The following is a 22,844-nucleotide window of genomic DNA, read 5'->3' on the forward strand; positions in this document are numbered from 1 at the left end:
TCCAAGTTATTATAGCCTTACTTTACCTCTAAAATGCAGGCATATGCACTAATTCCCAACGATTTTACTTTCCTGACATCTGTAGAGACTGGACATTTGAGTGGACTTCATACTTTCATTTTGTTTTCATAAAGTAATTGCTTTTAAAAAGATACATGCTCACTACAAAATATCTAAATACACAGAAGTACAGAGGCTTAAATCACCTGAAATTTTACTATCTAGAAAAAATGTCTATTTGAAAAATCTTATTAATATTTGCATGGCCTCCAATATTTTACTATTTTGCAAATATCCTGTGGTAAACTGGATTTCAACAGCATATAAGTTTTGGACCACTAAAGAAATCTATCTGAACCACTGTTTTCTTCTGAATAATTTCTTCAACAATGGGATCATAAGGAAGTTGAATGAAATTAAGTTTATGCCTTTTATGTGTTAACATATTTACAAGTCATCAGAAAATTATTAACAAGCCATCAGGAAAGTATCAGTATACTTATTCTATCAGATTCAACATTTATTAAAGTTTGTAATCTTGATCTTTTCTGGCAGAAATGGCAACAGATAGCTTATTTAACTTACTTCTCTAGTAAGTGATGCTGATAGTTTTGCCTTTATATATTATTAGTTCCTTGTGTGATTAAACTTTAGTCATAACATTACACTTTTTTCTTTTTTAAAACTTTTTCTACTTATTACCATTCAGCTATCTTCAGTGGGACAAACTTTTGTTAATAATGTAAGAGGATTCAACGAAACGGCCATTTTCATACTATCTGGACTTTTGAAAAAGACTAAACATGTTTGTGAATGATAAATAGGTATAAGTGGGAGAAACAGTAATGGTTATAATTAACTAGAGCCATTCAACTGAGAAACTGAAAATGCAAGAAATTATTCTTTGACTAAAATCTAGCCATCTTTCATGTGTAAGGCAAGCAAATTTATTATCACAAATATCTACCATAAGAATGTGATACAAACATACAACAGAAAAACCTGACAGTTGGTATCAATGAACAAGTACAGAAATATGTGATTTCTATAACACACATGAGGAAAAAAACTTGCTGTTAATCAAATCTGATCAAATTCTGATCAACTGATGATCTGATTAAGAAGCCAACTATTCTAAGTTAATTTCCTTTTTCCTATTTTTCTATGACTTTAAGAATTCTGAAAATTAAGTGATAAATTCTGCAAGCAAACCCATGTGTTTTCTAAGTCTCTTGATCCAAAAGGAGAAAAATCTTTTTTTCTTTTTTTTTTTTAGATGGAGTCTCACTCTGTCACCTAGGCTGGAGTGCAGTGGCAAGGTCTCGGCTCACTGCCAGCTCTGCCTCCCAGGTTCACGCCATTCTCCTGCCTCAGCCTCCAAAGTAGCTGGGAATACAGGTGCCCGCCACCACACCCGGCTAATGTTTTGTATTTTTAGTAGAGACGGGGTGTCACCATGTTAGCCAGGATGGTCTCGATCTCCTGACCTCGTGATCCAGCCGCCTTGGCCTCCCAAAGCACTGGGATTACAGGCGTGAGCCACCGCACCCAGCCCAAAGGGAGAAAAATCTTTAACCCAAAGACTGATGCTAAGCTTTATTATATTCTACTTTGTTGTCAATAATAAGTAAAATGTTCACAGTAATACAAAGGGGATGGAGGGGAGGAGAGAACGGGGAAGAGAGCTGAATTAGTAACTGCCATATGCTATCAAAGAAGGCCCACCACCTTTCTTGAAATCAGACTTACCAGAAAAAGATAAAGACTACTTGAGTCATTTAAAAAAAAAAACTTCAAAAATTCATTAGGGCCTTTTCCATCTTCAAACAGGTGGGCTTCAATCTCACCCTAATCTAGCACTCTAAGCAACACAAGAAAGGGGAGTCTGAGTGCTTTATTTGAGAGAAAAAAGGCACATTACAGAAATTTTCAAAGTACAGGTTAGGCAGTATTCCTTTTGAAAATTTCAGCTACATGACAAATTCTGAAATTATTACCGGAATGTTTTACAGCTTAACTAAGTGGATCTAGATTATTACCTGGACACTGTTTTCTTGTATTTGGTGAGGTTGTCTTACATGAGGCAATGAAGGCTGAGTTCCTAATTTCCTATCCAAAAATACTTCTTTGCTGCAAGCATAACACCATACTCGAAGAGTGGTAAGGTTCACAGTTAGATAATGCTTTGTCTCCTATATAATTTCACAGTAGAGGGAAAAGAGGAACCAAAATTACATATACTTGAAAAGACTTCTTCAAAAGATAACAGAAGATAAACTGCTTGCCTTTGATGAGTAACAATATACTCAAAAGCTAATTTAGAACATGAAAAAAATTCTTTAGATAAACTTCTAAGGTATAATAAACAGTAACAACATCTAAGCCTACTCTAGAAATTACTCTGCCATTCTCCCCTCACTATTCATTATACAAAAAGATAAACGCAAGAGTGTAAGACCTTGCTTTGCAGTCTACAAATAAATATAACACAAGAAAATAATTAACAATAGCAAGTAACTATTCTAAGAAATCAGAATGGCAAAAGAACACAAATGACATGAGTCAAGGCATAAAACAGCTCTAGCAATACAGAATATATAATCTTGGAAAGATAAAAGTCTAGCCTTTCACAACCAGAGTTCTGCTACAGAATTAAGCCCTACAAAAAATGATCTGAGTGACTAATTTATCAATTCTCCCAATGGTGGTACACAGCAAATACCATCTTAGATGCACAGAAAGAGGCAAATGATATACAATGATGACTCAGAGCTTGGGTATTCAGGCTTAATTAATTCTATAGAGGAATCCTGGTTGAGAACAGTTGATGCTGTAGAGGTATCAATGTGCATCTTAAAACAAAGTCATTCGAGAAACTTTCCATTTAGAATGGGAGCTCTACATAACACTATAGAAGAGGCATGCCAGAGTTACATGGGAAGTACCAAACAACCAGAGCAAAGCAGAAAGGTGAGTCCAGTTAGGACTATGTGCAGGAAAAGGCAATATGACATGAGCTGAGACTTAAAGAAGTTAGCCAGGCCATGTCATAAACCTAAGCACCCACTCTCTCTTGGGCTTCAACCTCCTAATATGCCAGCTATCACCTTCAAATATCTGGATATACACTTTTTTTTTTTTTTTTGAGATGGAGTTTCGCTCTTGTTGCCCAGGCTGGAGTGCAATGGCACGATCTCGGCTCACTGCAACCTCCGCCTCCCAGGTTCAAACAATTCTCCTGCCTCAGCCTCCCGAGTAGCTGGGATTACAGGTGCCCACCACCACACCCAGCTAATTTTTTTGTACTTTTAATAGAGACAGGGTTTCGCCATGTTGGCCAGGCTGGTCTCGAACTCCTGACCTCAGGTGATCCACCTGCCTTGGCCTTCCAAAGTGCTGGGATTCAGGCGTGAGCCACCATGCCTGGCCGGATGTACACTTTTGAAATCAGTGCTTTCTTAATCACAACCTCATTCTAATGTTCATCCTCCTAGCAATTCCCTTCCCCATCCTTCACAGAGAATGTAAGTGAAGTTTTAACTTAGAGTGCAAATTTGAATTACAACTTGAATTAATAATGTTATACTGGCTTTCCCTTTCCTTCAGGCACTTTTTTTAACAAGTCTTCCATTAAATTTTTTATATACATACCTGAGAATGTATGGTGCTGTGATCTACTTGTGATTCACCACAGCCAACATATGAACATCTATTCTATAAATAATTATATAGGAAGAAAAATAAGGTACTTTATAATATACATGTAAATTTATAACAGCATTACAATTACATTTACAATTAAGTTTGGATTACCTGTTTTACATTCAATGAGTAAATGACTTTCCAGTCATTAAATTTAACCAAATGTTTCCAGGCACAAAATAAAACCAGGATATATTTCTAAGCTAAAAGCTATGTCATTTCTAATAAAAGGCAAGCATAAAATAGCTGAGTGATTTACTAAAAACTACAAAAGCACTACAGATTAAGATCTTTCCAAAGTTTAATTTTTGTTATTAATAATGACCTTTTAAAAGCAAGTTTAATTTACAAAAATCACTTTAAGTATCAAAAATTTTCTGGTTATGATTATTCAGATCCAAATTTATTATTATTATAGCAATCTTTTCAGGAAAAAACATATACACACCTCCAGACATGCCCAAAGATTTGGTCCTTGGACTTTACAATCCTGACAAGTACCCTATAAAAAGAAATTAAAAAGACAACATTGGTTATATTGACACAAACACATACAATTCACTAATGCACTAATGACATCATACATATTTTTAAAATACTGCTCATAGAGTATTACAGTAATTTATGAAAATTACACATTCAAGAGAAAAGTGAATAGTTTTTCAAGGAAGAAAAAACCTGTTTCTTACAAGGGATTTTTGTATCAAATCTTCTTTTGTTATTTCACCAACTGAATCCAAATGTGGACAATGATTTCGAAAAGCTGACATTTTGTTAGGAATTTTTTCCTGTTTCCCAAGACTTTCAAAATGAGGTAACACCTATAAGAAAAGTAACACACACAAAAAAATTAATAAATGCTTACAATGCCTGCAAAGATTCCAAAAAATAAAAAAATTAAAATGTTAACATATTAAAAATGATTAAAAGATAACATAAGAATGATATAAGTTTGCCCTGTAAAAAGAGTGTATTCTCAAACATAGATGAGTTTTCAGAATTGAAGTTAATCTGAACACTGGAAATTTCTCTACTACATAAACATTTTATTAAAATTGACATCTATAAACAAATGTAAGTTTGTTTCTCCATGACTTTTGCTGCTTTTCCCCTCTCATTTCACTTTTTATAGATAAATAAAAGGGGGGAATATTCAAGTTATTCAACTGTGAAGCACTTTTATCCTTTTAAAAAAAAAATTAATCCTTAGGCTGGACTAGGAGTTGAAAAAAAAAAACTTCAAGTAGAAAGCTTCATTTTTCTACTAATAGGACCCCCTACTGATGGCATAAATTAAATCATCTGGTATCCTGGCCTTATACCAGGATAAGCACTTTATATCAGGGTTTCTCGATCCCGGCACTATTGACACTTAGGGCCAGATAATTCTTCGCTGTGAGGGATTGTCCTGTGCACTGCAGGTTATTTGGCAACATTCCCACTTCTATCCACAAGAGACAGACAGACCATCCCTGCCACCACTCTGAACTCTGATGACCAGTGTCTCTAGACTGTTTTAAATTATACCCTCTGGGGGACAAAATCTCTCCAGGTTTGAGAACCCCATTTTCATGATCTTTACAACCCCTGAAATAGGCACCATTATTAGCTTCATTTGCACATAAGGCTAAGAGATGCAAACTTTACTGATCCACAGTGTTTGGTTCAAGTAAAGCGAGTGATTTCCAAAGGTCTCAAGTCTAATTTGGTATTCCTAGATCTTTTGGTTGTACCTTTTTAATAACAGGGCTTTTCATGCTCTTAATTCAACTTTGAGGTTTGAGAACACTTTCCCAAAAAAAGTTTAGAACTTGCTAGGATAGAATGAAACAGTTTAAAAGTTTGAACTTCAGAAACACTGTAAATTTAATTTCCTTTGTGGTTTATAAGTTATTCAATAAACCATGCAGGTCTATGTAATAGTTTATAACTATATAGAACCCCTTTGTTACCCTGTAGCTTATATAAGAGTGTCTGTCTGCCTTTTATTATTTATTTATTTATTTATTTATTTATTTATTTATTTATTTTTGAGACAGAGTTTCACTCTTGCTGCCCAGGCTGGAGTGCAATGGCGTGATCTCAGCTCACCGCAAACTTCACCTCCCAGGTTCAAGTGATTCTCCTGCCTCAGCCTCCCGAGTAGCTGGGATTACAGGCATGCGCCACCACACCCGACCACTTTTTTTGTATTTTTAGTAGAGATGGGGTTTCTCCATGTTGGTCAGGCTGATCTCGAACTCCCGACCTCAGGTGATCCACCCGCCTCAGTCTCCCAAAGTCCTGGGATTACAGGTGTGAGCCACTGCGCCTGGCCTCTGTCTGCCTTTTAAACCCATTGCAATAAATTTGCTGAAATATTAACACATTAGTAAATACATTTTTTTTATTATACTTTAAGTTCTAGGGTACATGTGCACAATGTGCAGGTTTGTGTAAATACATTTTTTTAAGAAAAGTTGAACAAAATCAAATCAAATAATCAATTCACTATTACGCTGCAACACACAAAATTCACCAGGAACCACTCTAGGGTTAATAGTGCAAACATTTCTTTTTTCTTTTGAGACAGGGCCTCATTCTGTCACTCACACTGGAGTACAATGGGGCAAACACAACTCACTGCAGCCTCAACCTCCTGGTCTCAAACCGTCCTCCTGTCTCAGCCTCCCATGTAGCTACAACTACAGGTGCACGCCATGTGATTAGACTACCCCAAGCCAGAGAAAAAAACCACGGGAAAGGATTAGGTAAAACAATTCTCAAAGCCTTTAAGGGTTGTTGGTATTCTCATCAGCCACAGTTGAAAGACACCATAATAGAGGAAATAATGCACTCAGAATGGCATTGCCTCAATAATCGGAAGAAATTATCCTTAATCTAAAGGTTACTTTGGTTCTGTCTTTAAAAAGTTCAAAAAGGGCTGGGCGCAGTGGCTCACCCCTGTAATCCCAACACTTTGGGAGGCCAAGGTGGACGGATCACGAGGTCAGGAGATCGAGAACATCCTGGCCAAGGGAACCCCATCTCTACTAAGAATACAAACATTAGCTGGGCGTGGTGGTGTGCACCTATAGTCCCAGCTACTCAGGAGGCTGAGACAGGAGAATTGCTTGAACCCAGGAGGCAGAGGTTGCAGTGAGCTGAGATCGCGCCACTGCAATCCAACCTGAGGACAGAGCAAGACTCTGTCTCAAAAAAAAAAAAAAAAGTTCAAAAAGAAGTCTTAGAAGGATCAAACTGTTCCAAAGGAATTGTGTTCGGAACAAAGCTTAAGGACATTTAAAGGAATGAAAAAATTCAGTACCCATCAAGGTAAAAATCACAATAACTGGCATCTAATAAAAAATGACAGGCATTCTAAGAAGGAAATTCTGACCCACAGTGAAGAGAAAAAGAAGAAACCAAGAAATAGCACAGATGACAGAACAAAGATAGACTAAATCTTAATCTTAAAAATTAAATCAGAACATCAGTGATATAGGGGAAAATGTTCAAATTTGATGAAAACTAGAGCCCTACAGATCCACAAGCAATTTAAACTCAGCACAAAACACACAAACTACACCATGTACATCAAAAACAAATTACTTAAAACTAGTAATAAAAAGAAAATCTTAAAAAATAGCCAACAGGCTGGGTACAGTAGCTAATGCCTATAATCCCAGCACTTCGGGAGGCCAAGGCAGGAGGATTCCTTGAGCTCAGGAGTTAGAGACCAGCCTGAGCAACATAGCGAGACCTCGTCTCTACTAAAAATTTAAAAAATCATCCAGGCATGGTGGCACGTGCCTATAGTCCCACCTACTCACGAGGCTGAGGTGAGAGGATCACCTGAGCCCAGTAGATGGCAGCTACAGTGTGCTGTGATCACACCACTGCATTCCAGTCTGAGTGACACAGCAAGATCCTGTGCCAAAAACAAAAACAAATTTGGAATAAGTGCGACACGGTGCTAAGAATGTATATTCTGTTGATATGGTGTGGAAAGTTCTGTAGATGTCTATTAGGTCCACTTGGTGCAGAGCTGAGTTCAATTCCTGGACATCCCTGTTAACTTTCTGTCTCGTTGATCTGTCTAATGTTGACAGTGGGTGTTAAAGTCTCCCATTATTATTGTGTGGGAGTCTAAGTCTCTTTGTAGGTCTCTAAGGACTTGCTTTATGAATGTGGGTGCTCCTGTATTGGGTGCATATATATTTAGGATAGTTAGCTCTTCTTGTTGAATTGATCCCTTTACCATTATGTAATTGCCTTCTTCATCTCTTTTGATCTTTGATGGTTTAAAGCCTGTTTTATCAGAGACTAGGATTGCAAACCCTGCTTTTTTGTTTTCCATTTGCTTGGTAGATCTTCCTCCATCCCTTTATTTTGAGCCTATGTGTGTGTCTGCACATGAGATGGGACTCCTGAATACAGCACACTGATGGGTCTTGACTTTTTATCCAATTTGCCAGTCTGGGTCTTTTAATTGGGGCATTTAGCCCACTTACCTTTAAGGTTAATATCGTTATGTGTGAATTTGATCCTGTCATTACGATGTTAGCTGGTTATTTTGCTCATTAGTTGAGGCAGTTTCTTCCTAACATCGATGGTCTTTACAATTTGGCATGTTTTTGCAGTGGCTGGTACCGGTTGTTCCTTTCCATGTTTAGTGCTTCCTTCAGGAGCTCTTGTAAACAAAATTGACCACATAGTTGGAAGTAAAGCACTCCTCAGCAAATGTAAAAGAACAGAAATTATAACAAACTGTCTCTCAGACCACAGTGCAATCAAATTAGAACTCAGGATTAAGAAACTCACTCAAAACCACACAACTACATGGAAACTGAACAACCTGCTCCTGAATGACTACTGGGTAAATAATGAAATGAAGGCACAAATAAAGATGTTCTTTGAAACCAATGAGAACAAAGACACAACATACCAGAATCTCTGGGACACATTTAAAGCAGTGTGTAGAGGGAAATTTATAGCACTAAATGCCCACAGGAGAAAGCAGGAAAGATCTAAAATCGACACCCTAACATCACAATGAAAAGAACTAGAGAAGAAAGAGCAAACACAGTCAGAAGCTAGCAGAAGGCAAGAAATAACTAAGATCAGAGCAGAACTGAAGGAAATAGAGACACAAAAAACCCTTCAAAAAATTAATGAATCCAGGAGCTGGTTTTTTGAAAAGATCAACAAAATTGATAGACCGCTAGCAAGACTAATAAAGAAGAAAAGAGAGAAGAATCAAACAGATGCAATAAAAAATGATAAAGGGGATATCACCACCAATCCCACAGAAATACAGACTACGATCAGAGAATACTATAAACACCTCTACGCAAATAAACCAGAAAATCTAGACGAAATGGATAAATTCCTGGACACATACACCCTCCCAAGACTAAACCAGGAAGAAGCTGAATCCCTGAATAGACCAATAACAGGCTCTGAAATTGAGGCAATAATAGCCTACCAACCAAAAAAAGTCCAGGACCAGACGGATTCACAGCCGAATTCTACCAGAGGTACAAAGAGGAGCTGGTACCATTCCTTCTGAAACTATTCCAATCAATATAAAAAGAAGGAATCCTCCGTAACTCATTTTATGAAGCCAGCATCATCCTGACACCAAAGCCTGGTATAGACACAACAAAAAAAAGAGAATTTTAGACCAATATCCCTGATGAACATCGATGCAAAAATCCTCAATAAAATACTGGCAAACCGAATCCAGCAATACATCAAAAAGCTTATCCACCACGATCAAGTTGGCTTCATCCCTGGGATGCAAGGCTGGTTCAACATACGCAAATCAATAAACATAATCCATCATATAAACAGAACCAAAGACAAAAACCACATGATTATCTCAATAGATGCAGAAAAGGCCTTCAACAAAATTCAACAGCCCTTCATGCTAAAAACTCTCAATAAACTAGGTATTGATGGGACATATCTCAAAATAATAAGAGCTATGTTATAATATTTCACTAGTACTTTAATTTACGTTATCCTGACAACCAGTAAGTTTGAATGTCTTTTCATAAATGTTACAGCTTTCTGGATTTGTTCTTTTATTAATTGCTTCTTTAAATCTTTTGCCCTTTTTACTATTGGGTCCATAACCTCTTCTTTTAAAATTAATCCTCTATCCTCTATATTGCAAAATATTTTTTCAAACTTACCTACCTACCTTTTTAATTGTGGTAAACACCATGCTGAAAAGATTGCCCTCTCCCCACTGAATGGTCTTGGCATCACTGTCAAAAATCATTTGATCATATATAGTACATAAGGATTTATTTCTGGGCTTCTGGGCTTTTTTTTTTTTTTTTTTTTTTAAAGAGATGGTGTCTTGTTCCATTACTTTCATTACTCAGGGGAGTGCAGTGGCATGATCATAGCTCACTGCAACCTCCAACTCATAGACCCAAACAATTCCACTGCCGCAGCCTTCCAAGCAGCTAGGACTACAGGTGTGAGCCACCCCACCTGGCTAATTTTTAACTTTCTTTTGTGGAGACAAAGTCTTGCTATGTTGACCAGGCTGGTCTCAAACTCCTAGCCTCAAGCAATCCTCCTAACCTTGGACTCCCAAAGCGCTGGGATTATAAGCATGAGCCACTGCACCAAGCCTATTCCTAATCTATTCCATTGGTCAATATGTCTGTCTTAATGCCAATACTGTTATTAACTTTCTTATGGTATCCTTTACCATTAAAAGGTCTTAATTTTTGTAAAATTAAATATGCCTCTTGTAATAGCTTCTGAGTTTCTTATCTTCACATTTCCTTTACCCTAGCTTGTATAACTAAACCTGGAGAATAACCTTAAGTATTTCTATAAGGCTTTGATCCATCTGGAATTTATCTTAAGATAGGAACCCAATTTTATTTTCTTCCAGATGGGCAGACAGTTGTACCAGCACCACTTATTAAATAATCTCCCCATTTCCCATTGAACTGTAATACTACCTTTATCTTTTATTAAATCTGCACATATACTGGATTTCTGGATTCTCTATTTTATTCCACCAATCTATGACAATACCATATTAATCTGATTACAGAGGCTAGATACAATATTTTGGTAACAAAAGACACACCTCCTCACTAATCCTTTTCATGGTTTCCCTGGCTACACTGTGGCTGTAATGGAAAACATAAGTTTTCCATTTTTATTTTGTTTCAACCTTTCAAAAAGTTTTACTTCTTTTCAAGGGGAGGAGTTTTAGTTCTTATTTCAAGGGGAGGAGTTTTAGTTCTTATTTTCTGATATTAACACCATTATTCACTTTTACTGTTTTAATGCATTTACCAGAACCTCTTAAGACAATACTGAATACAAATGTGATCATGGGCATCCCCAAGTCCCCATCAAGTTTCTAATTTTAATGCTCTTGACATTTAGGATATTTGCTGTAACTTCCCTCTATTCTTACTTTACTTATTAGAAATGGTCTTGATGGGCTGGGCATGGTAGCTCACATCTGTAATCCCAGCAATTTGGGAGGCTGAGGCGGGTGGATCACAAGATCAGGAGTTTAAGACTAGCCTGGTCAATATGGTGAAACCCCATCTCTACTAAAAATACAAAAATTAGCCAGGCATGGTGGCAGGCGCCTGTAGTCCCAGCTACTCAGGAGACTGAGGCAGGAGAATCACTTTAACCCGGGAGGCAGAGGCTGCAGTGAGCCAAGATTGCGTCACTGCACTCCATCCTGGCGACACAGCGAGACTCCGTCTCAAAAAAAAAAAAAAAGAAATGGTCTTGATGAACTATGGCTAATATTGTATTTAGAAATTTTGCATTTCTGGGCATAAGTGAGACTGTTCTTTTTTGGCAGCATTCCTTCCCTCCCCCCCCCCCCCGTGCTTGAATCAGGATTGGCAGCATTTATCAGAGATAAAATATGTGTGCTTCACAGAATGCATTGACTAGCTTTGCATTCTTCATCATGGAAAAGAGAGTTCCTTTTTATTATAATGATGTGTTGTTCTTCATAAATGAAACTCAGCTGTGAAATTATATGCTATGCTGCCTCTGTCAAGAACCAATCTTCCATCATTTTTTCAAACCTTTCATGGGGATTGGGCAATTAACATTTTTACTTCTTGGGTCAATTTTACTCATTGACATTTTGCTATAACAACATCCATTTTCTCTTGAAATAACTTTGACAGTATAGCATTACATGTATATTCTCAAGAAAATCTGCAAAAGATTCCATTAATGTCTCCTGTATTTGGGGTCTATGGTGTTTACTCATTCCCAATCTTGTACATTTTTATTCCATATCTTTTTCTTCTACAAGATGTTTATCTAGATCATTGGTATTTGCAAAGAACCAGATTTGGGATTTATTTATCTTCTCCACTATTTTTGTTCTGATCTGTTTTCAATTCCATTAATATCCATATCCTACTTGCCTTTGGTTGTATTTTTTTATGTTTTTTGTTTTGTTTGTTTTTTTTTTTGGAGACGGAGTCTCGCTCTGCTGCCCAGGCTGGAGTGCAGTGGTACAATCTTGGCTCACTGCAACCTCCACCTCCCAGGTTCGTACGATTCTCTTGTCTCAGCCTCCCAAATAGCTGGGACTACAGGCGTGTGCCACCACGACTGGCTAATTTTTGTATTATTAGTAGAGATGGGATTTCACCATGTTGGCCAGGCTGATCTCAAACTCCTGACCTCAGGTGATCCACTCTCCTCAGCCTCCCAAAGTGCCGGAATTACAGGCATGAATCACTGCACCCAGCCTGGTTTTATTTTCTTAATCCCTAAAGATGAGTACTGAGCGCTTTGTTTACTGAAAGTATTTAAGCTATGTATTTTCCTCTAAAGTAAAAATTCTGCATTTGCCAATGAAATGTAGATGTTCTTCTCACTGCTTTTTAGGCAATACTATTTTGCCTCAGAGGAAAGAAATGGGATCAGAGGATTGAAAAGAAACTTCCAAGATAAATATTTTTTTCTAAAATCTCAAGCAAAAAATAAGATTAAAATAAATTCTCTCTGCTGATAGCTGAGATGAAAAAAAGAATAAAACATAAATACATTCTCTCTGCTCTGCTATTAATTTTGCATTATCTAAACAATTTAATAAGAATTGGCTGGGCAGGGCCAGGTGCGATGACTGTAATTCCAGAATTTTGGGAGGCCGAAGTAGGTGGATCACCTGAGTTCAGGAGTCTGAGACCAGCCTGGCCAACATGGCAAAACCCCTTCTTTACTAAAAATACAAAAATTAGCCGTGCATAGTGGTGGGTGCCTGTAATCCCAGCTACTCGGGAGGCTGAAGCAGGAGAATCACTTGAACCCAGGAGGCAGAGGTTGCAGTGAGCCGTGATCACGCCACTGCACACCAGCCTGGGCAACAGAGCAAGGCTCCATCTCCAAAAAAAGAAAGAAAGAAAGAATTGGCTGGGCAGCCACGCATGACAGCTCAGGTCTGTAATCCCAGCACTTTGGGAGGCCAAGGCGGGAAGATCATTTGAGCTGACGAGTTCAAGACCAGCCTGGGCAACATGGTGAAACCCCATCTCTCTACAGAAAATAGAAAAATCAGCCCAGCGTGGTGGTGCACACCTGTAGTTCCACTGAGGCAGGAGAATCCCTTGAGCCCAGGAGGCAAAGGTTGCAGTGAGCCAAGATTGCACCACTGCACTCCAGCCTGTGCAACACAGCAAGACCCTGACTTAAAAAAGAAAGAAAGAAAGAAAGAAAGAAAGAAAGAAAGAAAGAAAGAAAGAAAGAAAGAAAGAAAAAGGAAAAGAATTAGTGCATGTAAACAAAGGCTAACAATTTGTCCCAAGGATATTTAGTATCCCGTATAATACAATGCTATCAAAATAGAAAACCCTTAGTATTTTCTTTGCCTAGTTTTACTCAGTTTATTTACTAAGGTAATAAAATCATTCTTTTATTCCTTTATTTGACAAATGTTTATTGAGGGTAGGGCATTCAGATATAGTAGGGTAAGACAATGGGAGTTCTTAGCTACTTCAATTTCTTCTCAAATTGTACACCAAAAGAAAGAAGGCATGTATGCTTCCATTCTTGTCTGATAATTTAATCACAGGAGATGAGTATTAGACATTAGAAAAAAACAGAAAATGGTTGTATATGGAAATGCTATTGTCCAATCCACAGAAGTAGATTTTGCAAAACTAAGACTCCTGTAGAAGCTTGTGACTTACAAGTTGGAAATCACAAAGAGTGCACAAGATTTTATCTGTTTGTCCTTATCTTTGTAATCTTGTATCTGGCAGCTTTTTCCTCTATCTGCCACACTAACTGGACTACTGGAAGTTTTCTCACCAATAATGATGGCAGCAACACCAACTGAAAATTTTTCCAGATGAAAACGACTGCACTCACGCTCTATGATGTACAGCTCCGGTGGCTAAATTGCTCATCTGCATTAAAGTAAATGCAAAACTGCTTCTGGGCTGGGCATGGTGGCTCGCACCTGTAATCCCAGCACTTTAGGAGACTGAGGCGGGAGGACTGCTTGAACCCAGGAGTTCAAGACCAGCCTGGGCAACACGGCAATACCCTGTCTCTACCCCAAAAAAATACAAAAATTACCCAGGCCTGGTGGCATGCCCCTGCAGTCCCAGCTATTCAGGAGGCTGAGGTGGGAGGATCACCTGAGCCCAGGAGGCAGAAGTTGCATGCAGTGAGCTGTGATTGCACCACTGCACTCCCGCCTGAGTGACAGAGCTAGGCCTTGTCTCAAAAACAAAACAAAACTGCTTCTGAAGATATTACCTTTTTTTTTTTGAGACGGAGTCTTGCTCTGTCGCCCAGGCTTGAGTGCAGTGGCGCGATCTCAGCTCACTGCAAGCTCCACCTCCCGGGTTCACGCCATTCTCCTGCCTCAGCCTCCTGAGTAGCTGGGACTACAGGCACCCGCCATCACACCCAGCTAATTTTTTGTATTTCCAGTAGAGATGGGGTTTCACTGTGTTAGCCAGGATGGTCTCGATCTCTTGACCTCGTGATCCGCCCACCTCGGCCTCCCAAAGTGCTGGGATTACAGGCTTGAGCCACCGCGCCGCGCCCGAAGATATTACTTTTAAGGGGAGAATATTTTCGTAGTACAATCTCCAAATTCCAGGTTGAAATTCTGACCCCTTATCCTAATAGAAGATAATCAATCAGCTATTCAAATTTTAATATTAGGAAAAGTATAGGGAACCATGTTATTAGTACAATTTTTTTTTTTTTTGAGACAGAATTTCACTCTGTCGCCCAGGCTGGAGTGCAGTGGCGCAATCTCGGCTCACTTGCAACTTCTCCCTCCCAGGTTCAAGCAATTCTCATGCCTCAGTCACTTGAGTAGCTGGGATTACAAGCATGTGTCACCACATCCAGCTAAATTTTTGTATTTTTAGTAGAGACGGAGTTTCACCGTGTTACCCAGACTGGTCTCAAACTTCTGGCCTCAAGTGATCCACCCACCTCGGCCTCCCAAAGTGCTGGGATTACAGGAGTGAGCCACTGCGCCTGGCCTTAATATAATAATTACACATCAGGACATAGTTGGTAACCTAAGGAGCTTTTAATATTGAGAAACTGCCTGAATTCCATTGCCTAGTCTATTCCAAAAAGTAAAGCTCTTCATAAAAAGTCAGATTCACATTACAGAGAAAAAAAATTATGTCAGAAGGATTGGTAGCTATTTAATAGTTACATATAAGATTAATATGAATGCAGGAGGTCTTCACTAGCAGGTGTCAGAACTGCTCAATATTTTTAACAATAACCTGGATAAAGCTACAGAAGGCAGGCTAGTAAAATATAAACTTAAAATTATAAAAATAAGTTTTTAAAGAAAAATTAAACTATTTTTTAAAATAAGCTAAAATTGGCTGGGCGTGGTGGCTCACACCTGTAATCCCAGCACTTTGCGAGGCCGAGGCCGGTGGATCACCTGAGGTCAGGAGTTCATTACCAGCCTAGCCAACATGGTGAAACCCTGTCTCTACTAAAAACACAAAAAATTAGCAGGGCGTGGTGGTGTGCGTCTGTAGTCCTAGCTAGCTGGGAGGCTGAGGCATGGGAATTGCTGGAACCCGCGAAGAGGAGGTCGAAGTGAGCCAAGATCATGCCACTGCACTCCAGTCTGGGTGACAAGAGCAAAACTCCATCTCAAAAAATAAAAAATAAAAAAAATTAGCTAAAATTAACAGGACGAAATTTAATAATGATGGATGTGATATTCGACATTGGGATTCAAAGAATCAACCATATAAACTGAGACCAAAAAAGGGGGTCAGGTATTTGGATTCTAGACCCTTGAAGAAGTAGCAATTCCTACTCAATTAATCAACAGAACACTAGGTTTCAAGGTTTCAGAATAAAAAGAGTAACCAGTCTTGCTGGGTATGGTGGCTCACACCTGTAATCCCAGCACTCTGGGAGGCAGGGGCATGAGGATCGCTTGAGGCCAAGAGTTCAAGACCAGCCTAGGCAACAGAGTGATACCCACCCCCCATCTTTACAAAAAAAAAATAATAATTTTTTAATTGAATAGAGTGGTGAAAAGGGGAAAAAATAATAGCCAATCTTAATGTTCGCATAAAATAAGTAGATTATATCTGGAATACAGTATTTTATTTAAGAAGAATACTAAAAGCTACAGAATAAGAGTGCCTCTCATAGAAAACCTTAAAAGAAATAATTTGAAAACTGTATCTTATAAGATAGCACTGTACTAAGAGTAAAGTTTCTGGAGCAAGGCTCCACTATCTCCTAGATTTGGGACCAGTGGTAAGTTTCTTCTCTTTGCCTTAGCTCCCTCATCTAAAACACTGATCTAATTACAAATATCTACTTTCTAGAGTTTTGGAGAAGATTAATATATAATATTTTAAACTAATTATATAATTACACATAATACGTTAATATATAATTACATATTATATATTAGTATATATAAAATACTTAGAAGAGGGTGATATAGTAAGTACTCAGTAAATGTCAACCATTACGAACTGAAAGCATGGATGTTTAAACAGCAGAAGGCAAAAGATGCCAGGACTTGATACACATGTTCCAATTGAACATGATGACCAAAGGGATCCTTTCTTTTCTGTGCAACTTGAGAAAGTCAGAACAGCATATTCAATCAACGGTGAAGACTTCGGTTCAAATACAGATGAACTTTCATGGAAGGAGCATGTTCCCCATAATTGTTACACAGAGGTTGGGTAACTGTCAGAGGTGCTTCAAAGGACAGCAAGCACTTTGCACTAAAAACTCAGAATTGAATTAAGATTCTATGATTATAAAAAAATTGATTTGTCTTTCAACAGTTTCAATCTAGACTATGGTTCCACGAGTACTAGTCCAGCAGTACCATATGAAATATTACACTTTAGCAAAAATACAATGAAGGAATAAGCTTATGGCTTATCTTTCCATATTTATCATGGAAGAAAATTGCTACCCAATAAAAGCAAGCCAAAAAAACTGATGAATGGAAGGAAGTTATCAATGAAGAGTGCAACAACAAGCAGAAAAGTTTATTTTATTCTCAATCCATAGTAAGTGCTCAGGGAGACTTTTCACAAAAGAAATCAGCTGACAAGCATTTTAAATAACTGTTTCTTTCCCTTTAAACAAATATTCTGAGAATAAAATCATTCAAACCTCTGTGAGGATTTGAAGATCCCACAAAGTCCTATAATACTTACCTAATCATTCTTAATTTTCATTCAAAACCACAACACAGAAAAAGAAATGTAGTGCTAATCTTTTTATTTCTCTTTTACTAGAAAATCTGTCTCATTGATCCTTAAGAGTCTAATTAATGAGAGCCTTAAGGCTATTAAAAGAAATACGCAGTCTTCTAACTGAGTTCTCTGGCTACAACCTATGTGTTCTACAATCTATTCTTAACATTACCACTATTAATAATACCAAAGTATAGCTCCAATCTGGCAATCTTCATTCCAAATAACATCCTCTAAATGAGATTTGTAAATATTAATTAGCATTTCCTATAAAGATTTTTAAAAATCTGTCCAATAATGAATGGCAAAATATGGTCAATTCTAGCCTTATCTCGTTGAAATAATTTTGAGAAATATTGGAAGAGAGAGGAAATAGAAATGAATTAATGAATATGACAGAGTTCTAACAGAGTCTCAAATAAGCTGATGATAATTTTCACTCTAAGTCTCACTTTTGAGCAAGATGAAGAGTTAATATACTGGCATTACGGAACAGTCATTAAAAATATTCATGTAAACCACATAGAAACATGGAAAAACCTAAATCTTCAGTTCAGCTTGTGAGCAAAAAGAAAAAAGAAAGAAAGAATATGAGAAAACAAATGCTATCACCATATTCAAATGAGAACCACCATAAGAAAAATTATCAATTCTTTTATTGTTTACCAGACTATAATATTGATTTTAAAACTAATCAAAACTGATTCATCTAAACACAGTAATGCTTCCATAAAAAATATAAGAAATTCCAGCCAGACATGGCAGCTCATGCCTGTAATCCCAGCACTTTGGGAATCCAAGGTGGGAGGGTCACTTGAGGTCAGGAGTTTGAGACCAGCCTGGCCAACATGGTGAAACCCCCATTTCTACCAAAAAATACAAAAATTAGCTGGGTATGGTGGCGTGCGCCTGTAATCTCAGCTACTCCAGAGGCTGAGTGGTGAGAACTGCTTGAACGCAGGAGGTGGAGGTTGCAGTGAGCCAAGATCGCACCACTGCACGCCAGGCTGGGCAAGAGTGAGACCCTTTCACAAAAAAGTAAAATATATAAGAAATTCCTCTTCTAGGATTTTATAAAAGTTAAAACCTGTGGGAAATGGTCTTATTTTAGGTCACATTCAGCCCTATAGTTTCACCACATTACTGTATTTCAGGACTGTGATAAGCCCTGGGGGATAGAAATTAATTTAACAAATGCTTATAATCCAGCATGGGCCAGACATTATAAGTTTGTGGGGATGGCAGCATTGTTCAAGTCTCCACCCTGCTTTCCTTTTGAATGACTGGTCATCAACACTCTTATCATCACTCTCCTGAATACTATGCAATTTTTTCACTTTCCTTAAAAAACTAATTTGAAAGTCAGTGTCCTTCTGTCAACCCTTCTTTTTCACAAGTTAACTAACTTTTAAACCTCAGTACCATCTTAGATCCCTCCTTACTTTTTTCATTTACTTTTTTTGAAATGGGAGGCTCTCTATATTGCCCAGGTTGGACTTGAACTTCTGGGCTCAAGCAAATCTCCTGTTTCAGCCTCCCAAGTGACTGAGACTACAGGCTCAAGCCACAGCACCTGGCTCCCCTCCTCACTTTCTATCAGTTTCTAAATTCGGCATTTTTTTTTTTAACCACATTTCATCTCACATTTCTTCTAGGTCTCTATCTAAATTGAGGCTTTTATTTCACATCTGGATTATTCAATGAGAATGCCTGTTAAGACACAGAGTTGATACCTGGACCATCTCCTTTCAGCTCACTTCAATGTTTACTTGTAGCTGGTATGCACAGTTAACACACTGACAACTTCCCATCTCAACTACTTCTCTCCTCAGCTCTCCAGCACCTCAGGAGCTTGCCAAGCCCTACCTAACCAGTGTACCTGGGAAGTTCTGGGAGCCTTTTAGATAAAGGCAATCTTTATCAGTGAGGATTGACTGTAGATGGAAAACCACCCAGCTCCCCTTCATTTGGGGCAGTTATACAAAACTCTGAGGCAGTTATACAAAAATCTCCAAAGGCTTAAGCAGCCTCCAGTTGGCCTTCCACTATTAACCTTTTTTCCTCCTTCTCTGATTCTACCTGCTTCCTCACTTGTGCTTTATAGCATCTCACCTGCACCCATGTCATCTCAGGTCCAAGTTCAAGATGCACTTCAGAGAAACCATAAGGGCTACAAAAATAATGGTCACAATCTAGCTTAACATAAAGCCACCCCAGCAGTCTTCCAGTCTCAATCTTCTAACAGTTACAGCTCATTTTCCTTTCATGTGGATCACATACCTCTTCTGATCAAACACCTTCAGTGAAGTCTTTCATAATTTGTCTTCTTTATCTATTATTAACTTACATAAACTATGAATATCAGCCACATTGTTCTACCGATGTTTTCTCAAATGTAAGTTGTACCCTTCAAGGAGCTCATTAATCTGTTCACATTACAAATATCCTCCAATATTTACCTTTCAAAGCTCACTCATCTCAAATACTACCTTCACCAAGCCCCAATCACAAGTAATGTCTACCTCACCTAAATTCCTAAGGAACTTTTATAAAAACTCATAAGGCATTTACTGTTGTGTAAAAAATTGCCTCACTTGACTACAAGTTCTTTGAAGGCAGAAACCACGTTTCATTCTTTTTGTTTTCCAAAGGGCCTTGTCCTGGTAGACTCAAAATATTGACCTAACTTAACCTTCTGAACATTTGACAGCATGATTTATTTTGATATACATATTGTTTCTTAAAGACTAGTTCTCAGTATACAATATAGCACATAATTCATGTGCCTTTTTATAGATAGTTAAAAGCAACTGTACTCATCTCACACTCTTTGGAGTTTTCCCACTTATCAAAATGTTCCTGCAGACACATGTACACTTTTAAAGTTTAAAAACTACACTAAATAGAGCTGTTACTTATTCCCTTCCTTTTTAGAAATGGTTACATTTCACATTTCTCACCAAAAATCTTTCAGCATTTTATGTACTTCATTTTCTTGTGAAGAGTCCACAGTCTTGTCATATGTTATAGTTCACAGTGCTCCAATCTTAATCTATCTGAATTCCCAATCTGTATCAAAAGCTGCTTTGGCAACATTATTTCAGGCTTTACGAAATTCTGATCCTTACACAATCTTGAAATGTTTCTGTCATGGGGAAAGACTTTATTTCTTGGCATTCGGAGCTCAGAGGACTGGCATGAGGATCAAGTAAGACTGTGTAAGTGAAAGGTCACAGAAAATTCTAATACTACTACATAAATGTAAGAATTATCATCTCAATTCTGAATTTCAAATATTTAAAATCACCTATTTACTACAATCTAATGTCATTAAACTGCAGTTATATAAAAAGACTTGCTTACTGTTAAGTTATAAAAAGTTCAGAAAAGACAGAAAAAAAGTGAAACTGGCCATAAACCAGATCATAAATAGGAAGCAATCTTAAGTAGACTATCCCTCTTGCACATATCAGGTCAAATATTTTATTCCAATAATATTTTTTGTACTGTCCTTTTTTTTTTTTTTTTTTTTTTTGAGACAGAGTCTCGCTCTGCTGCCCAGGCTGGAGTGCAGTGGCATGATCTCGGCTCATTGCAAGCTCTGCCTCCCGGATTCACGCCATTCTCCTGCCTCAGCCTCCCAAGTAGCTGGGACTACAGGCACCTGCCACCATGCCCGGCTAATTTTTTGTAATTTTTAGTACAGACGGGGTTTCACCGTATTACCCAGGATGGTCTCGATCTCCTGACCTCGTGATCGTCGGCCTCCCAGAGTGCTGGGATTACAGGCGTGAGCCACCGTGCCCAGCCCTGACCTTTCTTTCAATCCTGCCAAAGTAATGAAATAATACAAAGCTCCTAGCATTGTGTAACTATTTCTATTATTTTTTCATAAAACTAGCATTGTCTTTAAGATTCCTATTTTCTCTCTTATTTATAATAGTATGAATTCACTAACAATATTTGTATTATGCTCAAATCAAATAGCCTATGACGATAATGTGACTTGGTCAGACCTTTCCAAATAAGACAGTAGGAAAAACGGAACTAGGACGGCCTTGTTACTTTTTGTAACACGTTTTTCTTAAAGGAAAAATAATCTGATTAAACTTAAAAATTCTCTACATCCACATAGTTATTAAGCAAAAGGCCTAGAGATCGTTACGGTAAAATTCACCTTCAATTTAAGTCTATGCTCCTGCCAGAATTTCACCCTCTGGCTCAATTTTCCAGGCCTAATACTGATTCTATGAGAATGTAAACTCCAACGGTACTTGAGTGCAAAACACCCAGGAAAATCTCATCGTCCAAGAGCTCAACGTAAAACCCTGTAAATATTCAAATGAAGAGCGTTTTGTATACGAGAAATATAAGTAAAGGTCTGGGAAACCACACACTATGGATCTTTCATCCAAACAAAGGCTGCAGATGGACAGAAGGTAAGGGGTAACCTCTCAGTCAAGATCAAACATTGGTCGAAGAAAAATTCCAGGGACGATGACACCTCGGTTTTTCCGTTCACAACAACAAACAACGGGGCCGGCCCCCTCAACAGCGCCGAAAAGCGAAACCAGAACCCAGGAGCCGGCGCGCTGCAGGGCTTTCAGTCACCCACTGAGAGGGACTGGCAAGCCTGAGTGGGGAGACCGAGGAAGGGAGCAGAGCCCCCGCTTCTCGGGCTCACCTGCACCTCCCGCTTCCAGGGAAGAACCCCTGAGGACCCTTCCTCAAATCAACGACCGGTTCCCATCCTCCACCGACCGTTGACAGGGCGACCACTAGATTATCTCTGCAACGCAGAGCACCGAGGGGCCAAGGCCTTCTTCCCGCCCGCGAACCCGCCGCCACCCAGGACCAAGAAAAAGAGGCTGCTGCAGCGGCCGCAACCCCAGCGCGCGGAAGCGAGAACAGAGACCGGACCCCGGACGCGAGCGAAACGCCCTTGGGCCCCGCGCCCCTCCCAGCAGCGCCGCGCTCACCTCCACGGCCTGGCCCGCGGGACCCGCCAGCTCGACCAACAACGGCCTGCAGCCGCACCTCCGCAAGCTCCTCTTTTCCTTCTCAGCTCTCGGAGAGGGGCAGTGTCGCGTCAGGAGGGCCGGAAAACGGCCCCGCAGCGCTGCCCTCGGGGGGTCCGCCTCCTGAACTGGCCACTTCCCGCAGCAGCCGCGGCTCCTTCCGGTGTCTCCGGGGCCGCCGCAGGCGTCTCCGGCGATAGGGGAGGTGGGGGCGGAGCCTCGATGGGAGCCCGCCCCAGGGGCGGGGCCACGGGAGCCAGGCCCAGGTGCGGGGACCCAGGCCGGCTCCCTACTCTGACTGCAAACTAACTGTACAGGGTATGTGCAGCAGTTTGAGGCTGTGAGCTTTTTTTTTTTCGTTTTTCACATGTTTTCTCCTTCTCTTTCA

General features: G+C 39.1%; 1 protein-coding gene across 16 annotated transcripts in view, besides 2 other annotated features; it reads right to left on the reverse strand.

Moving 5' to 3' along the window:
* The window catches only part of USP33 (ubiquitin specific peptidase 33), a 63,866-nt gene extending 41,239 nt beyond the window's left edge, over window positions 1–22,627 (reverse strand). For 9 of the 16 annotated variants that reach the window (XM_047449735.1, XM_047449731.1, NM_001377430.1 and 6 more), the window contains exons 1-6: window positions 22,418–22,627; window positions 8,196–8,374; window positions 4,392–4,523; window positions 4,151–4,204; window positions 3,652–3,714; window positions 2,040–2,192 (exon numbers count right to left, since the gene is read on the reverse strand). In XM_047449735.1, coding sequence (XP_047305691.1) covers window positions 2,040–2,192; window positions 3,652–3,714; window positions 4,151–4,204; window positions 4,392–4,523; window positions 8,196–8,237 — 444 coding nt within the window. In that variant the 5' untranslated portion in view covers window positions 8,238–8,374; window positions 22,418–22,627. The remainder of the gene's footprint in view (window positions 1–2,039; window positions 2,193–3,651; window positions 3,715–4,150; window positions 4,205–4,391; window positions 4,524–8,195; window positions 8,375–22,417) is intronic. The other 7 variants (NM_001377437.1, NM_001377436.1, NM_001377431.1 and 4 more) reach the window with 1 other exon arrangement.
* Window positions 19,174–19,223: an enhancer, noted in NCBI's record as "active region_1218". NCBI's record gives its function as "activates an Ori minimal core promoter by ATAC-STARR-seq in GM12878 lymphoblastoid cells {active_cell/tissue: GM12878}" and the evidence as "EXISTENCE:reporter gene assay evidence [ECO:0000049][PMID:35858748]".
* Window positions 22,537–22,816: a silencer, noted in NCBI's record as "silent region_1004". NCBI's record gives its function as "represses an Ori minimal core promoter by ATAC-STARR-seq in GM12878 lymphoblastoid cells {active_cell/tissue: GM12878}" and the evidence as "EXISTENCE:reporter gene assay evidence [ECO:0000049][PMID:35858748]".

This window comes from Homo sapiens, chromosome 1, assembly GCF_000001405.40.
Source record: "Homo sapiens chromosome 1, GRCh38.p14 Primary Assembly".
In the NCBI taxonomy this organism is placed as follows: Eukaryota; Metazoa; Chordata; class Mammalia; order Primates; family Hominidae; genus Homo; species Homo sapiens.